The 23,758-nt window shown below is 36.9% G+C and overlaps 1 protein-coding gene across 1 annotated transcript in view; it reads right to left on the bottom strand.

Annotated features, from left to right (window-relative positions):
* ITM2B (integral membrane protein 2B) overlaps positions 789-23,758 on the bottom strand; it is a 37,152-nt gene continuing 14,182 nt past the window's right edge. Inside the window, exons 2-6 of the mRNA NM_021999.5 lie at positions 17,210-17,338; positions 14,763-14,969; positions 12,910-13,020; positions 12,199-12,349; positions 789-10,007 (exon numbers count right to left, since the gene is read on the bottom strand). Coding sequence (NP_068839.1) covers positions 9,922-10,007; positions 12,199-12,349; positions 12,910-13,020; positions 14,763-14,969; positions 17,210-17,338 — 684 coding nt within the window. The 3' untranslated portion in view covers positions 789-9,921. The remainder of the gene's footprint in view (positions 10,008-12,198; positions 12,350-12,909; positions 13,021-14,762; positions 14,970-17,209; positions 17,339-23,758) is intronic.

Genomic DNA, 23,758 nt, shown 5'->3' with positions numbered 1-23,758 from the left:
CTGTAGTCCCAGCTACTTGGGAGGCTGAGGCAGGAGAATTGCTTGAACCTGGGAGGCAGAGGTTGCAGTGAGCCAAGATCACGCCAGTGCACTCCAGCCTGGGCGACAGAGAGACTCCGTCTCAAAAAAAAAAAAAAATTAAAATTTAAAAATTACATTAAAATGAATCAATGAGAAGCAGCTACCATTTCCATTTTGTGTCTCTACTATCCAAACCCATTCGACCCCAAAACATGCAGATTTTTTAAAAAAGCAGTCCCTTTCTCAGAGTGTTGTCTCCAAGAGGCCTTTTACCTGTGAATCAGTCTGAATTTCAATATACTCTTTGCCATTTTTTTCCTCCATTGTGATTCAGCACTATCACATTTAAGGGATCCCTACCTAAGAGGTAATTTGAACTTCGGGTATTAAAATAAAGTAATAGATTTTGATTCTGTCTACTGAAGGCACAAGGCCCAGCTCACTTTCTTAACATGGCAACATCACTAGCACCAAATCTGAGGTGTACAGAACTTGCATTCCTGTGGCCATTCCCACTCCCAGATGAAATTCTGAAACTACAATTAAAGAAAAAAAAAAGGGAAAAAAGCCAAGTTTGGTTTTGTTTGTTATCAGTTGCCCCTGAAGTCTATATAACAGAGCCAATTTTTAAAAAGGAGGCTACATAGAACCATGTTAAATTTATTGAACAAAGTTCATTCAGTAAATATTTAGTGAGTTCCTAATACGTGCCAGGTGCTTTACTAGGTGCTGAGGATGTAACATGAACAAAAATAATAAAGTCTCTGTTTTTAGGGAATTTACATTTTATTTGTAGAGACAGACAATAAACAAATACAAACATAAATACATGTCAGATGGTGATAAGTACTATAGAGAAAAATAAGGTAGTGTGGTCATGGCCAGGAAGGCCCCTAAGAGGGCAGAATGGAAAAGTCTAAGAGCAGAGGCATAGATAAGGAGCAATGCTCATAGCCACAGGGATACCTGGGCATAAGCCTTCTTGACCAATGACCATATTGCTCACTGGGCAGCAATATGATAGGGTTAAAGGAAGGGAAGCAGTGCCCACGGTTCTGTGCTTCTCTGCCCTAGTGGACATCTCATTCCACATGGGCTATGGAAATGACCACCTTCTGGAAAAGCCTCTGTGAGAAAAGAAGGGAAGCCAAGGGAAAGCTTGTCTCCAATTACTCTCTCATTTATTCTTTGCATTGTTTATTGGCTGTTTGAGGAATCTTGAGCCAAGTCCTAGTCATTATTTTTGCCCATCCTCGAACTTGAAACAGTCTTCATGGTCTGGCCTGCATTGTGCTAATCTGTATTGTTAAGAATACACTACAGACAGACATTGCCAGCATTGAGGGTGGAGGTGAGACTCACTTTAGAAAAGGTGATCAGGCAATACCTAATGAAGTGACATTCCAGCAGACTTAACTGAAGGAAGGCAGTGAGCCTTGGGATACATGTGAGGGAAGGAGGGTGTGGAATTCCTGGCCCAGAAACAGCAAGTGCAAAGGCTCTGAAGCAGGATTGCCCTTGGTACGTTCAAAGGAAAGTGAGGCAGCTGTGTGGCTGTAGAGGAGTGAGAAAGGGGGAGAGTTACAGGAGGTGATGTAAGAAGAGCTTTGGAGGCCTAGATTACCTACAGGTAGGGCATTGTTCGACTTTTATTCTGAATAAAATGTTGGGATTTGAGCAGGGGAGTGACATGATGTGGCTTAGATTTAGAAAAGATCGCTCTAGCTACTCTGTTTAGAAGAGGCTCTAGGGGTCAAGTATGGAAGCAGGAAGATCAGTTGTGAGGCCATTGCACCAATCCAAGCAAGAGATGATAGCAGCTTTGACTACTATGTTAGCAGTAGAGACAGTGAGAAGCGGCTGAATTCTGGATAATCCGTATCTTGAAGGTAGAGCACACCAGATTGGCTGATGGATTTGATGTGAGGTTTATGAAAAAGAGAGGAATCTAGAATGACTTCCTATTTTTAGCCTGTGCAACTGGAAAAAAAAAGGAGCTGAGATGAGGAAACCATGGGAGGAAAATCAAGTTTGCCTTTGAACATGTTGTATCTGATAATGCCTATTGGACAAGCAAAATGGGAATTTGGAAAAGACAGCAACGTATGCCTTAAGGGGAATTTATATGAGAAGGTACCCAAGTTATACTAGTTTACTTGAAGGGATACATTACATATTTGGTTAGACCTTCCATTCTAAAACAATGAGAAACTGAAATTTATAAATGGTTCTTGGTGTTTGTTATGACTGTAAACCTAATAATACTTGGACTCCTGCATTGTCATGTATTTATTATGTATATTTTACCAATCTACCCTCAAAAAGATATGTTTACAATAAAGATGATTTTGCAATGAAATCATTAAACAAACACTTTTTAAAACATGAGCTATCTACAAAGACTTGTACATGCATGTTCATAGCAACTTTATTCATACTTCCCAACTTGGAAACAATGAAAATACCTACACAGAAAAAAATGATAAATTGTGGTATACACAAAAAATGGAATACTGGCAGGGCACAGTGCCTCACACTTGTAATCCTAGCACTTTGGGAGGCCGAGGAGGGTGGATTGCTTTGAGCCCAGGAGTTCGAGACCAGCCTGGACAACATGGCAAAACCCCATCTGTACTAAAAAAAATAACAAAAACAAACTAGGTATGGTGGCATACGCCTGTAGAGTCTTAGCTACTCGGGAGGCTGAGGTTAGAGGATGGCTTGAGCCTGGGAGACAGAAATTGCAGTGAGCCGAGATGATGCCACTGCACTCCAGCCTGAGTTGACAGAGCCAGACTCTGTCTCAAAAAAAAAAAAATAAAAAATAAATTTAAAAAGCACACACACACACACAAAACCAAAAGAAATGGACTACTACACAGCAACTGAAAAGAAAGAACTGCTGAGTCATGCAACAACATGGACAAATGTCAAAACGTTATACTGAGTTTTAAAAGCCAAACAAAAAGATTATATATGTACGATTCCATTCAAATAAAGTTCAAGAATAGCCAAAAACTGAACTATGGTCATAGAAATGAAAAAGTAGTTTTAGCAGAGGGAAGGAATATTTGCCGGAAAGGAGCACAATGGTATTTTCTGGGGCAATGAAAATGTTTTGATGATTGTTAACATGGACAAAGAAAAGTGTCAAAACTCACTGAGTTGAACACTTAAGATATATGCATTTCGTTGCATGTAAACTATCTATAAAACTCACAACAAAATATGAGCAAACTGAAGGGTTACTTCAAGCCCTACCGAAAGGGTGATATACAGAAAAACCTAGGCTGAAAGTAATTAATCTAAGCACCGAGTTTGGCTCTGAGTTTCCCAGCAACCAAGGCAAAAGGGAAGCAAATGAATTCTTTAGATGTACTACCTAATATTAACATGTATCCTATGTGAAAAAAATTTTCCTAACACTAAATTTTAAAATACTTAGATAAGAAGTACTAGATATGACATAATGCTTTTAACAGCACTTTACAAAAGCTGAAGAAACATTTCTGGCTCATTTTTATTTCTATCAATCCTCAACAAAAGTCAAGAGAATAATATCATGCCATGGTTATACAAAGACATTTCTATGGGGAGCTAAAGGAAGGCACTCATAATTTTTTAGAGTGTCAGCTAGCTGCAGGGCTAGAATCTAGGGACTCATTCCAGAGACATGAAGGATTCTCAAATTTCACAGGCTCATCTTCCTGGATGCCTCAGCAGTGTTTCTGACAGAACTTGGGTTATCAGATAATTAGGGGTTAAATAAAGTGTAATGTTCCCTGGAGTTGATTAAAACTAGATAAGTTGTAGCTGTTACACTAGTATTTGGCTAATTATGTTTTAAGAAATGTTCTAAGAACTTGCCGTATTCATACCCAAATGGAAAACTATTCCTGCATCTTAGTCTGAAGGCTTAATGGATATATTTATCCCTGACATTCTGAAAGCTCTTCTCTCTCCTTTCATGCTTCCCAGCAGGGGCATAATTGGCAAATCAAGAAGGGCAGTAATTTTTTGTGCAGGACTCCCGGACTTTTAAGACATTTAGCATCCTGCCTGGCCTCATCTACTAAATACAAATGGCATCCTCTAGTCCTGTGACAATCAAAAATCCCCCCTACATTTTAAAATGTAGTGCCAATCCCTTTTGATAATCACTGGGCCTTAAAAGAATGTTGGTATGTTTTAAATGTGGAAAACCATCTGGCCCAAAAATACTATCCTAGAAGAAGGTGGCATTATGGAAGAAGACATAATCTTGGCTTGAAACATTTGTGGATATATATACACTTCTGTCATATGAAAATCTTAATATGGCCCCCACAGAACATTTTACTTAAAATGAGGCTCTAACTTTGAACAACAAGCCCATCAAGATGAAATAGCCTCAAAGTATAACCCTTACTAGCTGAACTCCATTTCATGGAGTTAATCCATGAAATGTAGCTCATTCATTCAACAAACATTAATTTCCATCTGAATAATGAAGATTGTCTGCCCAAAAAAACCCCCTTTGGTTTTAGTGAAGTAGATACCGTATTTCCTTTTTTTCTAGCTATAGTTACCAGATGTTTATTCCTTCCTTCAGTGTCAAGAAAACCTATTATGTGCCAAATACTGAGGACACAGTATGAGCATTTTGCTAATAGTCTAGAGGAGGACTTCATGAAGACAGGTGATGAAGTATCATGAAAGGTATGAGAAATAGAGAGCTATGGTGGCATCTCTGAGGAAACTTTTAGTCTGAGATCTGAAAGATGAGTAAGAGTTAACTTTTCTTTGTGGAGGGCAGGGGGTAGAGTGGGGACAGAGACAACTGTTTCAGGCAGGGCTGCAAGCTTATATGAGGCCAAAACTAAAAGGCTAGGATGCAAACAGAGAAATGGTGAGAGAAGTCTAGTGAGGGCAGGATTTTAGGGCTTGAAAAAAGGATTTTCTCTTAAGTGCAGCAGGACACCATCACTGAATCTTATATTCAAGGCAACTCACTCAGACCCATGGGGATGAGATCTGAGGAGAAAGTCAGACAACTGGTTGGGAAATATAATACCCAGAATAAAAATGACAGTGGGCAAGACTAGGGTGGTACGGGAAGGAATCATTCATTCATTCAATAAATAAGAGCTGCAACTATGTGTCAGGTGCCCTACTAACGTATTGAGCAGTCTAGTGGTGGAAATCTATTAACCAAACAAGCAACAAGGACAAAATATAAAATATTAATTATATTCAAGTCACAAAAAAGAGACAGATGATGCTATGAGACTGAGAAACAAGAGAAGCCTTTCCTAATGGTTCAGGAAAATCTTCTCTTGAGGAAGGGTCACCTGAACTAAATTCTGAAGGTTGAGTGGAAGCTAACTGAAGGGTGTCGGGTGAGGAGATGGAAATAATCTTCAGGAAGTAAGAATAGCATTTACCAAGAAACAGTAAGTCAGGCAATGTGGTAGGACACTAGGAGCAAAGAGGGGTGTGATTAAGATGAAGCTGGAGAGTGGGTTGGGACTGGACTGTGCAGCATTAAGTATTTTGGTCTTTATCCTAAGAACCAGGGGAAGCCAGGAAAGTGTTTTAAGCTGGGGTGTGACAATGAAACCATCAAGTTCGTGTTTTGGAAAGATTGTTGTGGCTTACGGGTGGGTGTGGGGAAGCAGAGAGAACCACTAGAGCAGAACAGCAGGAAGCTGCTAGGAGGTGGAGGACACAGTGACTGTGAAGACTGTGGGGTTTCTGGCTTGGGTTTCTTAAATATCCTCCATTTGCGACGGGGATAAGACCACACTGTTTGGAAAGAAGAAGGCGTTTGCATCTGCTTAGTCACTAGGGCAAGAACTAGGTCATTTTGTGTCACACATTATTGTATCGCACGTTAAACTGTTGGGGAATGGGACTGAGGAAGGAGGATGGTAGAAGGGCGGGAACATTTACTTTTTACCTTCAAAAACTGTATTATTTGATATTTTTACAATGAAAATATAAACACAAATGCAAGCTTAAAAATCAGATACAGAAGTCCCATCAAATTATTTTAAGTGGGAGGAAGCTAGGATTATCTTGTTTTATACCACTTAGGTCTCAATTTTGACCCCTAAGCCCACTCCCACTCATCCTGCTTCTCAGAACCAATCTGCAATAGGTGGCTGGAAGATTAAAAGTGTGGAATCTACAACCCATACATGTGTGCTATCAGGAAATAATTTATGGCCTCAAAATTCAGTAAATATTTCAAAAAAAATCTTAAATTGTGCTTAATTTTTTCAGTAAGATAAAAGCCTAAAATGATCAATAGAGAGCTGAGACTAAATCATGCTTCTTCCTCAAAAAAGCATTAGCCACAAAGACTCAGAAAGAAGAACGCTAGCAATAACTTTGGACAAGATATTGAACGAACTGATGGCTGTGTAGCTTTGTGGAAATGAAGAAATGTTCTTTTTCTAAATAGATACACATGAAGTCCTTATCTAGGAACCTAAGTCCCAAAGAGTTAAACATGCAAAGATTAGTGTGCAATAGAGTAGGATTTATATAACTCTGGGCAACAAACTCTTTGCTAGGTGGAAGAGAAGATGTCTAGTAAACTACTAAATGTTCACTTAGCAGAATCTTAGAGATTCTGCCCATATTAATTCATAACCACATTCAAACATAGAATCTAGACCTTTTCTATTCAATAATCCATTTGCCTTTTCATTTGCATTATTAATCAGCCTTTAAGTTTTACACTCCTACTTCTATTATTCGAGATAAACAACATTTAGGACACTGTGTACATTTTTTTTTCTTGCTTCTCACTAATATGGGTGTGGAATCTAAAAAGGGATACAGGGAAAGCAGAAGTGAACAATTACACATTACAAAACAAGATCAGTGTTTGCTTGCTAACATATAGCAGTGATAGGTTTCAAAAAAGGCACTGTCAACAACTGTACAGAGCTGTATGAAGCATTTTCATGCCTATTATTTTAATTCTCAGCCACCTCTTAAGCCAGATTCTCCAGATTCTCACTCCTGCATCACAAAAGAGCAATCACGGCCAACAACTTGTCAAGATTTATATAGTCTCATCTTGACTTCTGTACTTTTTTTTTAAACCAATGCAATAGGGGCAGAATGTGTTGCAAAGCAGCAAACTAGAGCTATCTTAGATAAATAAATAAATACACACACACACACATATGATGGGGTGCATTATGGAACTTGCTATGGTTTGAATGTTTGTGTCCCCCCAGAATTCATGTTGAAATCCTTACCCCCAAGGTGACAGTATTAGGAAATGGGGCCTTTGAGAGGTGTTAGGTCATGAGAGTGGAACCCCCATGAATGGAACTAGTGTCCTTGTAAGAGGAACCCAGAGTCATCTGTGATATAAGGTCACAGAGAGAAGAGAGCTTTCTGTGAGGAAGGAGGACCTCATCAGACACTGAATCTGCAGGTGACTTGATCTTGAACTTTCCAGCTTCTGGAACTGTGAGAAACAAGCTTCTGTTGTTTAAAGCCACTCAGTCTATGGTATTTTGTTATAGTAGCCCGAATGGACTAAGACAGAACTCAAGAAGAGGGAAGGATAGCTGAGTCTCCCTGGAACCCACTGGGAGACCTGGCAGTCCTCTCTGCATGTCTGATTCTCTGTCATCTTCTCATCCACATCCCTCACCCTCTGGTTTTTCCATGCCACACCAAGACCACAGTTTCCAGCATGGCACAAGGGTTCAAAGGGCACATTATTCATTCAGCCCTAGAATGAATAATGAGCCTGAAATCTCAGTTGGAGTTCCAAAATTCCTGGGACATGACTAAGCTTAGGTGAGAGGGGTACTCTCTACTCAATTGACTCTAAAGGAAATTATCAGAATAGTACTGGAAATGAAGTAAAATCATGGGTACCATGTTAGACCAATCTGGCCAAATCAATGATTGCAAATGTTGTGAAGAATTATCAAATGTTTTACTAAGATGATTATACAAAAACCTTTAAAAATTCAAATGAAAGAATTACATTTAGTAAAGTGTAAGTTTGGGTCCCTGGGAGTCTGGAGGTTGCCTGCCATACTGGACTGTGATGAAAGCATATTCCTACTGCATGAAGCCAGTGAGATGTTGGGATTATTATTGCAGTTCAGCTACCCTGATACTGCATTACTACTATAATCAACAGGAAAACAAACTAATAAGCTCCTTCCAAAATGCAAAACTTCAATAGTGGCCCATGGTCTACAGAATGAAGTCCTCAAGATGACATACATGGTCTTCTTCCATGACCTAATCCCATGCACTTCACATTCTGAAAGTCTCATTGACTCTCCTAAATGTTTTCCAAAGAACCTAGACCTGTTTTTCTCCCTCACACTACTGATCCCAATGTATTGTAATGAGTTGTTTGCTGTCCCTCTCTTTTCCTAGATTGTGAGTCTCCACGACGGCAGTGGCTTTTTTTCTTCTTTGCAGATATATCTTCAACACAATATCATATGTTGGGCATATAAAAGATGCTGAATGAATAATGTGCTCCTAAATGTTCACAGCTCCCTGAAAATTCATGTAATTTTAGAGCCTGGAAAGTAGGAAAAACCAATTCTCATTTTATTGAAACATATTGTCTTCTAAAATTGTTAATTCCTGAATACCCAACTCACTGACTTAAAGTTCTGACAATATTACTGAAATGAAATGAAAAGCCATGAGTAAATAATATCCTTTTGAATTAGAATTGGTTTCTAGACTAAATCCTTTAAGAGTTGGAAGCTTTAAAAACTCTGACCTCCTAAAGTCAGAATTGAAATTTTTTGTCTTAGGAACTTGAGGTGAAATGAATCATAGGTATTTTATTAAATGGGGGTGGATTCTGAATTATTTCAGAGAGGAAGCAACCTTAGAAACATAAAAATCATCATTATTAACTCAAAATGTTCCACTTGTGAGGCGGGCATTCTCAGAGAAGCACAGTTATTTTACGTTCCTTGGAAACTTTAGGCTTTGATTGCCTTTCCATCAAAAATAAAAGCATTTTATATTAAACAACATCATTCAAGGTTGAGGCTTAAATGTTACTTTAATAGTATCCACAAAGAATCTGGTTTAGTTATTAAAATGACTTATTTTTATTTAAAGAAAAAATCTGTGATTTTACTCATTGTATATATAGAAGTGAATTTTTAAAAAATAGTTTCTTCTTTTATGTGGATTCTCTTAAGATTTGAAGAACCAAACTATTCTTTGGTTTTATTATACGGGAAAAACAACACGCAGTCTAGTTAAACAACTTTGTGATATTTATATTCCATTGCACAGATATGGGTTATACAAATTAGTAACACAAGTTATTTCTTAAATTCCAAACATTTTCTAAAATATTATTACAGCAGATGCCTAGGATATTAAAACATAAAGGTGGAAATCATTCTCTAAATAGTTAAATATATTTGACACTGAAAATACTGCACATTTTAATTAGAGGAAAATTAAAATGTGTGCTCAAATGCACTAACAAACTAGGTAGCAGGGCAACTAACAACTACAAATAAGTCACTGTGGTCCATTTTTACGTATGCATATATATGATTATTCTCTAGATAATCCGTCTTCTTGAAAATGCTAATAAAACATAAAAATCCAGATAAATGATTTAAAGAAATTGTAATTCTTCCTACTACCTAAGGTGACATGTACTATTATCTATGACTTCATACAGTTACTAATTCAAATATAAAAGACACCACACTTCGAAAGAAAAAAATTTTAAGGTAATGGTTTTAATTGAATTAATGAGATGAAAAGATAGTAAAGCCCTGTTTGCTACTTACATGAAAGAAGACTTTAAAAAATAATCACTGCACAAAATGTAAAGGGTGGGGTTATGCTGTGATATTAATTTTCCTCAATAATGTTTTTCTTGACTGTTCAAGAACAAATTAAAGTTTCCACGGCAAATTTGTTTTCAAAATGCCGAATTGCGAAACAATTGCTGGCTTCACGTTTCTGAATACCTGTTGGAGAGGGAAAAAAGTTTTTTAAAATTTTGATTCTTTAATAATAAATATTCACATCATTTTTATAGTTATTATTTAGACATATAGAAGTATTTCACTCTATATTCCACAAAAACTTCTACAGTTTGAATGTTTACACTGAAGAAAAGTAATTTTTCTCCCTTTTCTGAACCAAGTATTAATATCTTGACAGATCACAGCAACATTAATAATGCTATCCAGACTGCTTACAAATTCATGAACTTGAAGGTATTGAAAATGTTCTGTATCTTGACTATGGTGGTGCTTGCAAGACCTTGTGTATCTTTGTGGAAACTCAGAGTTGCACACTAAAAAGGGTAAATTTCATGGCACGTGTAAGGCTGACTTTAAAAAAAATTATGAACCAAGAGAATTTTAAAATGTAAGAAATCAACACAGCAATAAAAAAGAAATCATGTCCTTTGCAGCAGTATGGATACAGCTGGAGGCCATTATCATAAATGAATTAACACAGAAACAGAAAACCAAATACCTACCTTACAATGCTCTCACTTATAAATAGGAGCTAAACACTGGGAACTCACTGACATAAAGATGGGAATGATACATACTGAGGACTATAAGGAAGGGAGGGAGGGAGGGAGGAGGTAAGGGTTGAAAAACTACCTATTGGGGAACGCTTTTACACTGTTGGTGGGAGTGTAAATTAGTTCAACCATTGTGGAAGAGAGTGTGGCAATTCCTCAAGGATCTAGAACCAGAAATACCATTTGACCCAGCAATCCCATTACTGGGCATATACACAAAGGATTATAAATCATGCTGCTATAAAGACACATGCACATGTACGTTTACTGTGGCACTACTCACAATAGCAAACTTGGAACCAACCCAAATGTCCATCAAAGATAGACTGGATTAAGAAAATGTGGCACATATGCACCATGGAATTTTATGCAGCCATAAAAAAGGATGAGTTCATGTCCTTTGCAGGGACGTGGATGAAGCTGGAAACCATCATTCTCAGCAAACTATCACAAGATCAGAAAACCAAACACTGCATCTTCTCACTCATAAGTGGGAGGTGAACAATAAGAACACATGGACACAGAGAGGGGAACATCACACACTGGGGCCTGTCGGGAGGTGGGGGCCTAGGGGAGGGATAACATTAGGAGAAATACCTAATTTGGTGACAGGTTGATGGGTGCAGCAAACCACCATGGCACCTGTATACCTATGTAACAAACCTGCATATTGTACACATGTAACTCAGAACTTAAAGTATAATAAAAAAAAGAAAAGAAAAGAAAAACTACCTATTGGGTACTTTGCTCACTACCTGAGTGATGGGATCATCTGTACCCCAAACCTCACATCAGATAATATACCCTTTGTAACAAACCTGCACATGTACCCCTGAATCTAAAATAAAAGTTGGAAAAAAAAAAAAAAAAGAAATCAAGCTGGTTTCAGATGACTCAACCGCCGGAGATGAGAGAACAGTATTATTTAAAATGCTAGCAAAAAGCCAGGAAAGCACTTTTACTGGGTGACACAATTCCAAAGAAATCACACCACAGTGTATCTGAATGGCACTTCTTACTTTCCACAGCTGCCACATGTACTTTCTTTTTATTTTCACAATGCTCTTAAAAGGAAATGGGGAGATACTGTAATTCTTATATTTCAGGTGAGAAAATAAAAGTTAAATGATTTGGCAAAGCTACAACATTAGTTGTATCAATGCTCTTAGTTCTTCACCCAAATTCCTTTCCAACTACCCTGACAGTGATTATTCCCAATATGATCCAAAAGGCAAACAGCCTGCTTAGAATCCAGATCCCTGAAAACACAGCTGAAGAGCTGGTCCCAAGACACCCTCTGGATAATAAAAACCCTTTCAGTATGGCTCAACCAAAGTGGTAGGATGGGAAGTTGGACAGGGTGACTAACTAGATGGAAAATGAGGTACCATCATCTCAAGGCAATGACATTTCACATTGACCTTTTCTCTCCACCTGAAAAGAGTGGACTTACTAAATGGAATTAAGATAATTCTATAGAAACCTGGAAATATTATATAACGACACAATATTACCTCACTCATGGCAGGTATATTGGTAACAATGACTAGGCTTCACCTAAATCTAGTTTAATGCAATGAACTTTTCTGCCCAACACTTTAATATTTAAAAAGTATTACCTTTAATAGTTTCTCTGCGTTGCAGTTTGTAAGTTTCCTTGTCATGACACAGTCGATAAATAAAGAAACCCAGGTGATCAATGTTTTCAATGCGATCAGTAATAACCATGTGCTCATGAATCAGATAGGACTGAGGCAAATAGGTTCCAGCCTACATTCAGAAAAGAATACATGACATGACTATCTCAGAACATACACTGAGTAGACTAGAGAAACAAGACAAAATTCTTACACATTATGGTATGGAACAGGTTGCCAAACTACTACCCACCATCTGTTTGTTTATGTTCTCACTATGTTGTCCAGGCTGGTCTCAAATTCCTGGCCTCAAGCAATCCTCCCACCTAGGTCTCCCAAAGTCCTGGGATTACAGGCATGAGCCACCGCCCCCGGCTTGTTTTTATAAGTAGAATTTTTTTTGGAATATAGTCATGTTCATCTGTTTTACGTATTGTCTATGGCACCAGAATTAAGTAGTTGGCTAATATTTACTCCCTGGCTCTTTAGGAAAACTTAAAACATTATTTGAGAAATTTATTTCAATTTCAAGATATAAAACATTAAAAACAAAAACCATGAGTATTAGTTCCTCTTTGTAAAATTCTTAACTACAGTCTGATAAAATGGGCTCCTATAGGGCTAATTTCTCAACAGGGAATTCCAGAACACTATGAAGGCATCATTCATCAAAAACAGTCAACATTCTTATACCTTGATGTTAATAAGTAACTCCAGTAGGTTTCTGGGTGGCATAACAATGGAAGTGTTCAGAGGGATCACATAGCACTTATCCAGGTTAAGATCTAAATAGGCTGTAAGTTTCTGGGAAGAAAAAGATACAGTGTAGTTACAGTAATACTTGCAAAAACAGGCAGCAACTGGATTTTTAAGAATAATTTGTATCATTAAAATGAATTGGCTTTAGAATGTATAAATCACTTGCATTTCAACAAATTCAGAATTTGGCTGGATAAAGTTGGAAGTGGGAATGGGAGAGGAAAAAATATTGCTACCAGTAAATAAAATGCTCATCGAGGGTATATTTCTATAATAAGTAATAATACCTATTCAAATTAACTGCAAATACTTATTATATAATTAAGCAATTTAACTTCCCCACTTATAAGCTCAAATGCCCTCTAAGGTTATCTGTCCATTGTTTGTAAAGATTAAATTTTCTCATATGTATCTTGAATACTACCATCCTTAGAACATTAGAAAAACAGTCATTTAAATGATTTTGTGTTCTGTGGTTCAAATGAGAAACGCTGGTTGAGAAAGACTGTCTCATAGAACGGTTTTTAAGAATAACTTAAATCAAATAATGTCAACATTTTGATTCCTAAGAGCTCAGTAAGTGTTAACTATTATTATTTACTATTTGCTTTGGAAGTTTATTTCCTTGAAATAAGTAAATTTTCAAACTGGTTTATAAACATCCATCAGATGTATTTATCAGGCACGAAATGTTTGCAAAGCTAACTTCAGTAATATATTCGAGTGTTCAAAATGGCAAGCTTACAGAGAGACATAAAAATCACAGGTGATACATGAACTTCTGAATCTCTGAATCCTGATTTGAAAAAACAAAAAATTCTTGGGACAAAAATTGGGGAAATGTAAACATAAACAGAAATGTAAACATATTAAATACAGTAGTCCCTCTTATCTGAGGTTGTGCTTCTCGAGTTTCAGTTACCTTTAGTTAACTACAGTCCACAAATACCTAGGTGAGTACAGCATAATAAAATATTTTGAGAAACCACCTTCACATAACTTTTATTATAGTATTTTGTTATAACTGTTTTATTATTATTGTCGTTAATCTATTACTGTGGCTAATTTGTAAATTAAATTTTAACATATGTATATATGTACACTAACAGGAAAAAACATAGTATATACAGGGTTTGGTACTATATGCAGTTTCAGACATCCACTGGGGGTCTTGGCATGTATCCCCCACGGATAAGGGGGGACTACTGTCCTATAAGATCATGTTAATTTTCTTAGATGTGATAATTATGTGGTTACGTAGGAGGACAACTCATTCTTGAGAGATAATAGCATAAGTACTTATGTCAAATGACAGAAAAAGAGATGAAGCAAATATGGCAATATTTGGAACAAAGTGGAGGATTTTGGGTATTCAACTTTTCTGCATTACATAAAAATGCTCAAAAGCTGGGGAAAAATATAGAATGAGAACTTAAAAACAGATTAACAAAATTATTGATTTTGAAAATGCTACCAAGAAACAGGAACATAAATTACCTCTTATCTAAGAAAATGTGGGAACATATAAAAAATATTAGTTTGCCAGCAAAGGAGGAACAGTCATGAGGTGGGCTTTAAGAGTAGGTAAGGCAAGGGGAAGGAGAGATAAGATATGAGAAGGCTGCATCAGCAGGGTCTGCTTCAGACATAGCAGAGCCCACCAAATGCTGACAGTTTATTAAACTAAACTCTAAATATAATAAATTAGCAAATATTGAAATTAAAACTACAAAAAGCATAAACTACAGAACCTGCATTCTTTCTACAATTCTGGACACTTGGCTCACCTTGTTAAAGTCATGAACAATGTTGGCAGGATCACTATCTGCAAACTCTGGGACAGGCACACTGATAAATTCAACTTCTTCTTCTTCAAAGATTTTAATATTTTCTTCAATTGTCTGGTAGAGAGCAGCTGGGGCATCTGCAGAGGGCTCATTTAAGATGACATCATCTTTGATGTACTTTATTCCACAGTAGTACACGTCATCTGGCTATAGAGAGTTTAAAGACTCATTTCAGCAATTCAGCATGAGACAGGTTTTTAAATAAGCATTACTTAAGCTGCCACCTCTATCTAAATAGCATTTTGCTTGCAAACTCTTGCTTTTAGATGACAAGTCAGACAGTTTAATTACAGAGTTAACATATTCTTTAAGATCAGGTTTTGAAGCACTGTAAAAGAACAGCTTCAGAAGAAAGGCAGCTGGTTTTCCCTTTACTTTTCCTGGTAGGTGAAAATAGAACATAAAAATAATTAGCTATCCAGTAACAAATAAATATAAAGAAACAACAGACCTACTCTACCTGTAAGCAGTTTTTATAGAAGAATACATTCCAAAACTAGTCAAGTTTTTCTGAAAGAATATATTAAAAAGTTTTGATATGGTCTACTAATTAAATGACTTTTTTCTTATTAGCCAAAAAAGGGATAATTTTTCTGAAATTTCTATATGCATATACGTAGTTCTACTTTTCCCTTTATATCACAATTCAGTGGAAAATATTAGATTACAGCAAATCTTTATGCTACTGTCTCACTTTTACAAAAAGAAAAAACAGTACATAAGGTCGGGTGCAGTAACTCATGCCTGTAATCCTAATACTTTGTGGGGAGGAGGCCTGAGACAGATGGACTGCTTGAGCCCAGGAGTTCAAGACCAGCCTGGGCAACATGGTGAGACCCTGTCTCCACAAAAAATAAAAAAATTAGCTGGGTATGGTGCCACGCACCTGTAGTCCTAGCTACTCCTGGGGAGGTTGAGGCGGGAGGATTGCCTGAGCCCAAGAGGTTGAGGCTACAGTGAGCTGTGATTGCACCACCGCACTCCAGCCTGGATGACAGAGTGAGACCCCATCTCAAAAAAAGCCAAACACACAGTACATGTACACGTGCGCGCACGCACACGCGCGCGCACACACACACACACACACACACACTACACACACTACACACACAATAAAGACTAAGGGTATACAAAATGTGAATGCACAGGGCCAGGCATGGTGTGTCACGCCTGTAATCCTAGCACTTTGGGAGGCCAAGGTGGGTGGATCGCCTGAGGTCAGGAGTTTGAGACCAGCCTGGCCAACATGATGAAACCCTGTCTCTACTAAAAGTACAAAAATTAGCCAGGAGTGGTGGCAGGTGCCTGTAATCTCAGCTACTTGGGAGGCTGAGGCAGGAGAATTGCCTGAACCCGGGAGACAGAGGGTGCAGTGAGCCGAGATCGCGCCATTGGACTCCAGTCTGGGCAACAAGAGAGAAACTCTGTCTCAAGAAAAAAAAAAAAGTTAATGCACCAAATGTTATCTCTGGAAAATGGAATTGCGATGATTTTTTCTATACTATATGTATTTCTTGTAAATAAAACTGTATTTAAAAAGATGACTAGTATTTTGGTAATGTCTATCAACATGTGATTGATTATCTTGAACAACACAGAAAATGAGCATGAAATTGAGAATGTTTCAAAATTAGTTAAATTATTTTAATAAGTCTAGTTGTCAACTGTTTCTCCAAATTTTGAAACAGCTGAAGTAGTCATAAAACCTTGAAAGTAATTTCCCCTTCAAAACTCCTAAAAAAAAAAATTGTGTATTATTGCCAAGAGAAATATATTACAAAATAGATTGTAAATTATAATCAATCACAAGGAAGACCTTTGTCTTAACCCACTGGGATTACTATTAAACACTCAAAGTTATAAACAACTTTCATCCTATGTTATTTCAATATCACTGCTGAAGTCACCCAGTTCTTTAGTGAAACCATGACTGGAAAAGAAGCAGAGACATGGTCTTACTGTATTCTGGGCCCAAGGGTACAGCAGGACCATAGGGGAGTCCAAGCTGACTATCAAGTTATGGCCTATCAACATGAAAACATTTGTGGCTGATGTATTTATTCAACTGGCAATTGATAATACTATTCCTCTCAACCCTTAATTATAGTAGGAAAATAAAGGTTAGTAAAATCACCCAATGACCTAAATAAATCCCTTAGTCACCAACATTTCAAGTTACTCTGCTTTTAGTGACTGTGTGTGATGGGCTCAGCAAACATATCATGGAGAGATGTTTAAACACAGCTTTAAAATAGAACTACCACTCTGGCTGAAGGTCACAGATAAAAAGTACAAGCTTAGCGCAAGTTGTAAACAATTTTGTAATGCACATCGGGAGAGGCAAAAAAAAAAAAAAATCAGAGACACAAAATAATTTTTCCACTTACTTGAAGTGCAAAATATTTGTACAAGTATGCTCCTCCTAGAATAACACCTGCAAGCATAAATGCTAGTCCAAAGCACATGCACCAACACCAGGCTCTTCTTTGGCCAACTGGTACCACATCATCTGGGTCCTAAAATATGAAAAAGACAGTTAAATATCTTATCTCCAGACAGAATAACAGAAGGCTCAGGACTAGAAAAACCTTAATGATTATCATTTTAATAAATGAAGACACAAAGACCAAAGGAGTTGTGTCTCTCATCAAAATCAACCCAGGAATGATTAAGTGGTAGCTCCAGGGCTCATCTTAATGGTTCTTGGACTGGGACATTGGTCTCTAGGAGAGTTGTCTACTTCTAATCTCAACACCCTACCTGCTAACCCTGCCTCAAGCAATGATACACTCCATAATTTTTACTTTCCATGCACAACTTTTGGTGATATATTCTATAATTTAATAATTTAGAAGAGGTTATGCTACAACTTAGTCACATAATATGATGATGAGCCTTGTACATTATAAATCCAGGGCATCTCTCTATCTGATCATTTATGAAATTATGTGTTAGGCCTGCTACAGGTGGTTTATATTTCATACCAGGTATAAAACTATTCTAAACCATCCACAAGAAAAAATTACAGGAAAATAAGGAAAAGAACAAACAATGATACTAAAATTATTTAAACAATTAGAATTTCAAAAAATAGGACAAAATTATATACATAGAAATACATAATCCTATTATGCCACTGCTCTACCCTAAACCATGGTCTGATAAAATTCTTCACTTTCTTTTAAAGATAGAAGCAGTAGAAAAAAATGAGAACATATTCAATGATAAAAATTTACTGATAAATTCAAGAAACAAAACTAGCACAGAATTTTATAAAATTTTCATTTCTATCCACTTAAGAAAACAATTTAGCATTAGAACATTATTTGGGGTCATGACATTCATAATTCCTAGATATTCCCTCCCTGTGCCCTTCTAACCTGATCCCTCTAATCTGTCACTTTAGAATTACAGCAAATTTCTGATTTGTACCCAAGTTCATGTGCAAAGAGCTAAGAAAACAAAGATACTTAAATAAGTAGTCACTCAATAAATAGTAAAGACTGCAAAAATTCATAGTATACATGAACAGCCTCTTTGAAGTACATGACTCTGTCCTTTACTTGGAAAACCCACTATGGAGTAGGCTTAAGGCAGAAAGCAGACTTCACCTAAACCTATATAATAGGATATAAAATTAGAAAGAAAAACTATGAATGATGCACAAAAACAGGATCGGTCATTGGAACAGCACTACACAACCTTTTTTGGCACCAGGGACCAGTTTTGTGGAAGACAATTTTTCCACAGACAGACTGAGGGGTGTTGGGATATGGTTTCGGGGTGAAACCGTTCCACCTCAGAAGATCACCAGGCATTAGATTCTCATAAGGAGCGCACAACCTAGATCCCTAACATGCACAGTTCACAATAGGGTTTGCGCTCCTAAGAGAATCTAATGCCCCCGCTGATCTGAGAGGAGGCGGAGCTCAGGCAGCAATGCTCACTGTGCAGCCAAGTTCCTAGCCAAGACCAGTTCCGGTACTGGTCTGTGGCCTGGCGGTTGGGGACCCCGGTATTAGAACATAGATTTGGTTGAAGCAAGAATTCAGTTACGAATGAAACCTAAGATTATATGTTTTTAATTCTAAAATGAGGAACTTTAACATGATACAACTGAAAAAGGTCTAATCCCAGATGTTGAAGCAACCAAGAACAATGTGATACGATACAGTGTGTTCCTAGGTTGAGATTTCAAACATAGAATTTAACACTGAACAACAAACAATGTGTATTCTAAGAATCAGTGCATTGCTATGAGAATGTCATGGTTTCTGTAGCACTTGTCAATATACTATGTGTGAAAGACAATGAGCGTATTGCAAGGAAGAAAAGTATGTAATGAGAATAAGTCTGAAGAATTTAGCAAGCCATGTAAGATATCCCAGCTGTGAAAAGAAAGCTACAAGAATTCCATGGAGTCATAAGGTATTATGAAACTTTAATGACGAAGTATACATCTTTTGCTTGAGCCCTTGTCTGACATAAATATCTAAGGAGGTAAGAAATCATTCCTAACATAATTAATTTTAGAGTGGAAGGAGAGTGGGGGGGATGAAAATGACAGATGGAAATAGTTATTTCCAACATTTGGTATCAGCTGCTGGGACAGCCAAATGTGCGCACACACCCACCCCATTTGGCAGGCTTTCTCTTCCAATAGTACATAAATGAATAGCCAAACAGCACAGGCAGACATCTGTAAAAGAATACGCAGCCCCAACTGGCAAATTGATGACAAGTTTCAAGGCATTGTAATATATCATTTTTAACTGTTCAACAATCATTTTGAGAATAAATTATAAATGTCTACTATGTGCCAAGAGCTGTGCTAGGCACTGGAAATGTATGCTCTGCCAAGAAAGAGACCTGTTAGATCAGTCCGGAAAACAGATAAATATACAAAAAGAAAATAAATATGATACAAACTCTAATAGGAAAATGCACAGAGAGCACATAAGAGGGGATGAGTTTCAGGAAGACTTCCCAAGGGAGAAAATACTTTAGTGGAATGTTAAAGGACAAATACTCATTACCTCAGCAGAAGATAGAGTTAAAGGAAATTTTATATATGGCAATGATTTTTCAAAATTTATGGAGCTAAAATGCATGACATTTCCAAGAGCCACATGTGCTTTGGCTGGAGTGCCCAATATGGTGGAGATGAGTATGAGAAATGATGGACAAGAAGCTGGTGCAGGTCACAAAAGACCTTTGTAAACCATGCTAGAGTTTGACTTCTCATGTTCATTCAAAAATCACTTCTCAGCACTATTGAATATTTTTTTAAAATTCAATTTCTTGAGGAATTTCACTTACAAATACTTCACTTATCCACAGGTCAATTTATTCAGCACCTCAACAACGTGAAACGTGGCTTAAGAATCAGGAAATAAACAAGAGTCTTTGGTCAGCCAAATTATAGACCCCAAACCTATGCACCACCATCATGTACTTCATAGAAGAGCTGTTTAATCTTCAAAGTCTATCTAATCTTTGTTCTCTAAATTCCTAATTATCACTTTTCTTTCATGAGAATAATTCACATAAAGATCTTATCTCTCTCTACTAGGCTATAAGATCTTTTAAGTATCCATTCATATTCATTTTGCATTACTGGTAGCTCCAAGCCAAGCTTAGGCTTGGCATTAGCTGGCACTCATATATTTGATGAGTGAATAAAACTTAGATCTTTTTTTTTTTTTTGAGATGGAGTCTCGCTCTGTTGCCCAGGCTGGAGTGCAGTGGCGCGATCTCAGCTCACTGAAAGCTCCACCTCCTGGGTTCACACCATTCTTCTGCCTCTGTCTCCCGAGTAGCTGAGACTACAGGCGCCCGCCACCACACCCGGCTAATTTTTTGTATTTTTAGTAGAGACAGGGTTTCACCGTGTAGCCAGGATGGTCTCAATCTCCTGACCTCGTGATTCACCCGCCTCGGCCTCCCAAAGTGCTCGGATTACAGGCTTGAGCCACCGTACCCGGCCAACTTAGATCTATTTTTTTAAAAAGCCTGGTTATTTAATTTTTTATGATTCATAAAAGTTATACCAGCAGCCAGCGTGATAATAAGGGAAGGGAGAGATGCAACATAATTCATAACGTAAAACAAACTGTGGCTATTTAGCAAGAGCAGTAGCCTAGTTCAGCATTTATTAAGTAAGGCTTGCTATTTGCAATATACTGTGCTAGATCCTGTGGGAAATCAAATGTGATTAAGACATGGCTCCTACTTTGAGCGATTTATAGTCAAGAATTAACATCACGTATGATAGATAAATGATGTTCCATAATACAATCCGAGTCATGGAGAAGGGATTAAAGTATGCTCAAGATTTAAAAGTTTTTAATCTAAGAGATTTATTAAAAGTGTTTTTAGAGTGATTAAATTTTAACACTTCAAAGAGTAAGCTTTACTTAAAGAAAAAGCCACGTGAGATTTAAGAAGAAAAACCCCATGACTATCTCAAAATATACAGAAAATGTATTTGACAAAATTCAACTTCCATTAAAAAAAAATCTTTGCAAACTAGCAAAGGGTGAAATTCTTTAACATCAGTAAGGCTAATAATCAAAAGCCTATAGAAAGCCTCATACTTAATGGTGAAACTTTAATACTTCACCATACCCTTTTAATTGAGGAATACAGGAATGCCCACTAAAATTGACTGTTTCCACTGAACACTGTACTAGAGATCCTACAGCAAGTACACAAACAATAAAAAGATTAGGTATTAGAAAAAAGAAAAAACTGTTATTATTTGTAAATAATCTGTCTATGTAGAAAATCTAAGAAAGTCAAATTATTTAAACTAATTAGAGGGTGGCAAGATTTTTAAAGATCAATAATCAAAAATCAACTGAGTCAAAAATTTAGTCATGAATATTTACAGCATCATTATTTATATACTAGCCCCAAACTAGAAACAACCCAAATATCCATCAACTGATGAATAAATTGTGGTATATTCATACCATGAAATAGATAGCAATAAAAAGGAACAAAATAACACACACCAGCGGGACTGAATCTCAAAAACATGCTAAGTGAAAGAAGTTTAGCACAAAAGATTACTCACTATATGATCACATCTTTATCAAATTCTAGAAAAGGCAAAACCATAATGACAAAAGCAGCTTACTGGCTGGGGAAGGGGAGACTGACTACAAACAGGCATGAGGAAACTAATTACTTGGGTGATGGAAATCTTTCGTATCTTGATTGTTGGGGTGGATATATGACTTTATACAATTACCATAAATTCAATCAAATTGTACACATAAAATGCAGGAGTTTTATTCCATGTAAATTATATTTTGATATGGAGGGTGGGGAAGAAATCAACTGAGTTCCTGTCTACCAGGCAATAAAAGAATGTCTAACACCAAGTGCTAGAAAAAGTGTGTAACAAAGGGAACTTGGGAACTTCCACTCAATTGACAGAAATTTAGGTCCAACTGCTTTGGAGAACAATTTGGCAGTATCTAATAAACATACATCAAGCTTGTCCAACCCGTGGCCCATGGCCGTGTGTGGCCCAGGACAGATTTGAATGTGGCCCAACAGAAATTCACAAACTTTCTTAAACCATTATGACTTTTTTTGTGATTTTTTTTCCCAGCTCATCAACTATTGTTAGTGTATTTTATGTGTGGCTCAAGACAATTCTTCTTCCAATGTGGCCCAGGAAAGCCAAAAGATTGGACACCTCTGACATACATTTATCTTATGACCTAGCAATTCCATTCCTAGGTATAAATCCTGGATAAACTTTTGAATATGTAAGGAAATATGTCCAAGAATATACACTACATTGTCAGCAACAAAAAAAAAATTCGAAATAAATTATTATAGATTCATATAATACTGCTAAAAAGATTCAACTAGTGACCAGGCCCAGTGGCTCGTGCCTATACTCTCAGCACTTTGGGAGGCAGAGGCAGGAGGACTGCTCAAGCCCAGGAGTTCCAGACCAGCCTGGGCAACATAGCAAGATCCTATCTCTTTTAAAAAATAAAAATTAAAAAAAAAAAGTACTAGCACTGCTGATTTTTAGATAAGCCTAAGAAACATAATTGCTGACCCCCCCAAAAAAGGCACGTTGCACAACATATAACACCACATATTTAAGTATTATGTAAGTATGTGATATTTAAGACTTTCAAAACATATAAAATATACTTCAGGTTCTCTGTATTTTGTGTGCCTGAAATATTTCATAATTTTAAAAAGAAAAAAACCACTAACAAGTAAGAGCTTCTTCACTGGGGTATATAACTTTACCTGGCCTAATTTAAAACAAGTCACCGAGACGTTTCCTCCCTTCTACTGCAATAAAACTGGTGCACCTTGCATCGCGCTTAAAAGGTAACAGAACTCCCACAGGTGCTGTACAATTATCATCTAATTAATCTTCCTAAACCTCAAGTTTTTTAGCCCAGTTTATAAAAGAAGACACTGCAGCACACGCTGGCCTATAACCACCTTGCAACAGTAGATATAGAAAGACCTGGCTTTCAGGAGCACTCTCACTCTGGCACAGTACTAATTTCTAGTTCAAATAAATCTCAGCATTGGATAATAAAATAAAATTACTTAAGAAGTTATATCTTAAACAAAATGAAGGACAAATTCTTTTCTGGTACTTCAATTAGTTAAGAATTAGGTCACCTCAATCAGTTCCCTAAGAGGCTTTAGTAAATGTGCTTCAATTATAAACTTAAATAAAATGTATATTTTTTCGTATAATTTCAATTCTGTTCTCAAACTAACAAATCACTTTATATTCTTAGGCACCTCTATTTGAACATTTTTTTACAGGATGACTGAAGCTTTTAAGAGACATTTTTCAAAGTGCTCAGATACAATATTTTACATTTCTGTATCAAATTCAACAACAGTGCTTTAGGAATCAGGATACTAATGAGGAAAACAAC

This window comes from Homo sapiens, chromosome 13, assembly GCF_000001405.40.
Source record: "Homo sapiens chromosome 13, GRCh38.p14 Primary Assembly".
NCBI lineage: Eukaryota > Metazoa > Chordata > Mammalia > Primates > Hominidae > Homo > Homo sapiens.
The sequence above is the reverse complement of the archived record's forward strand: the minus strand, read 5'-3'. Positions and strand labels throughout refer to the sequence as shown.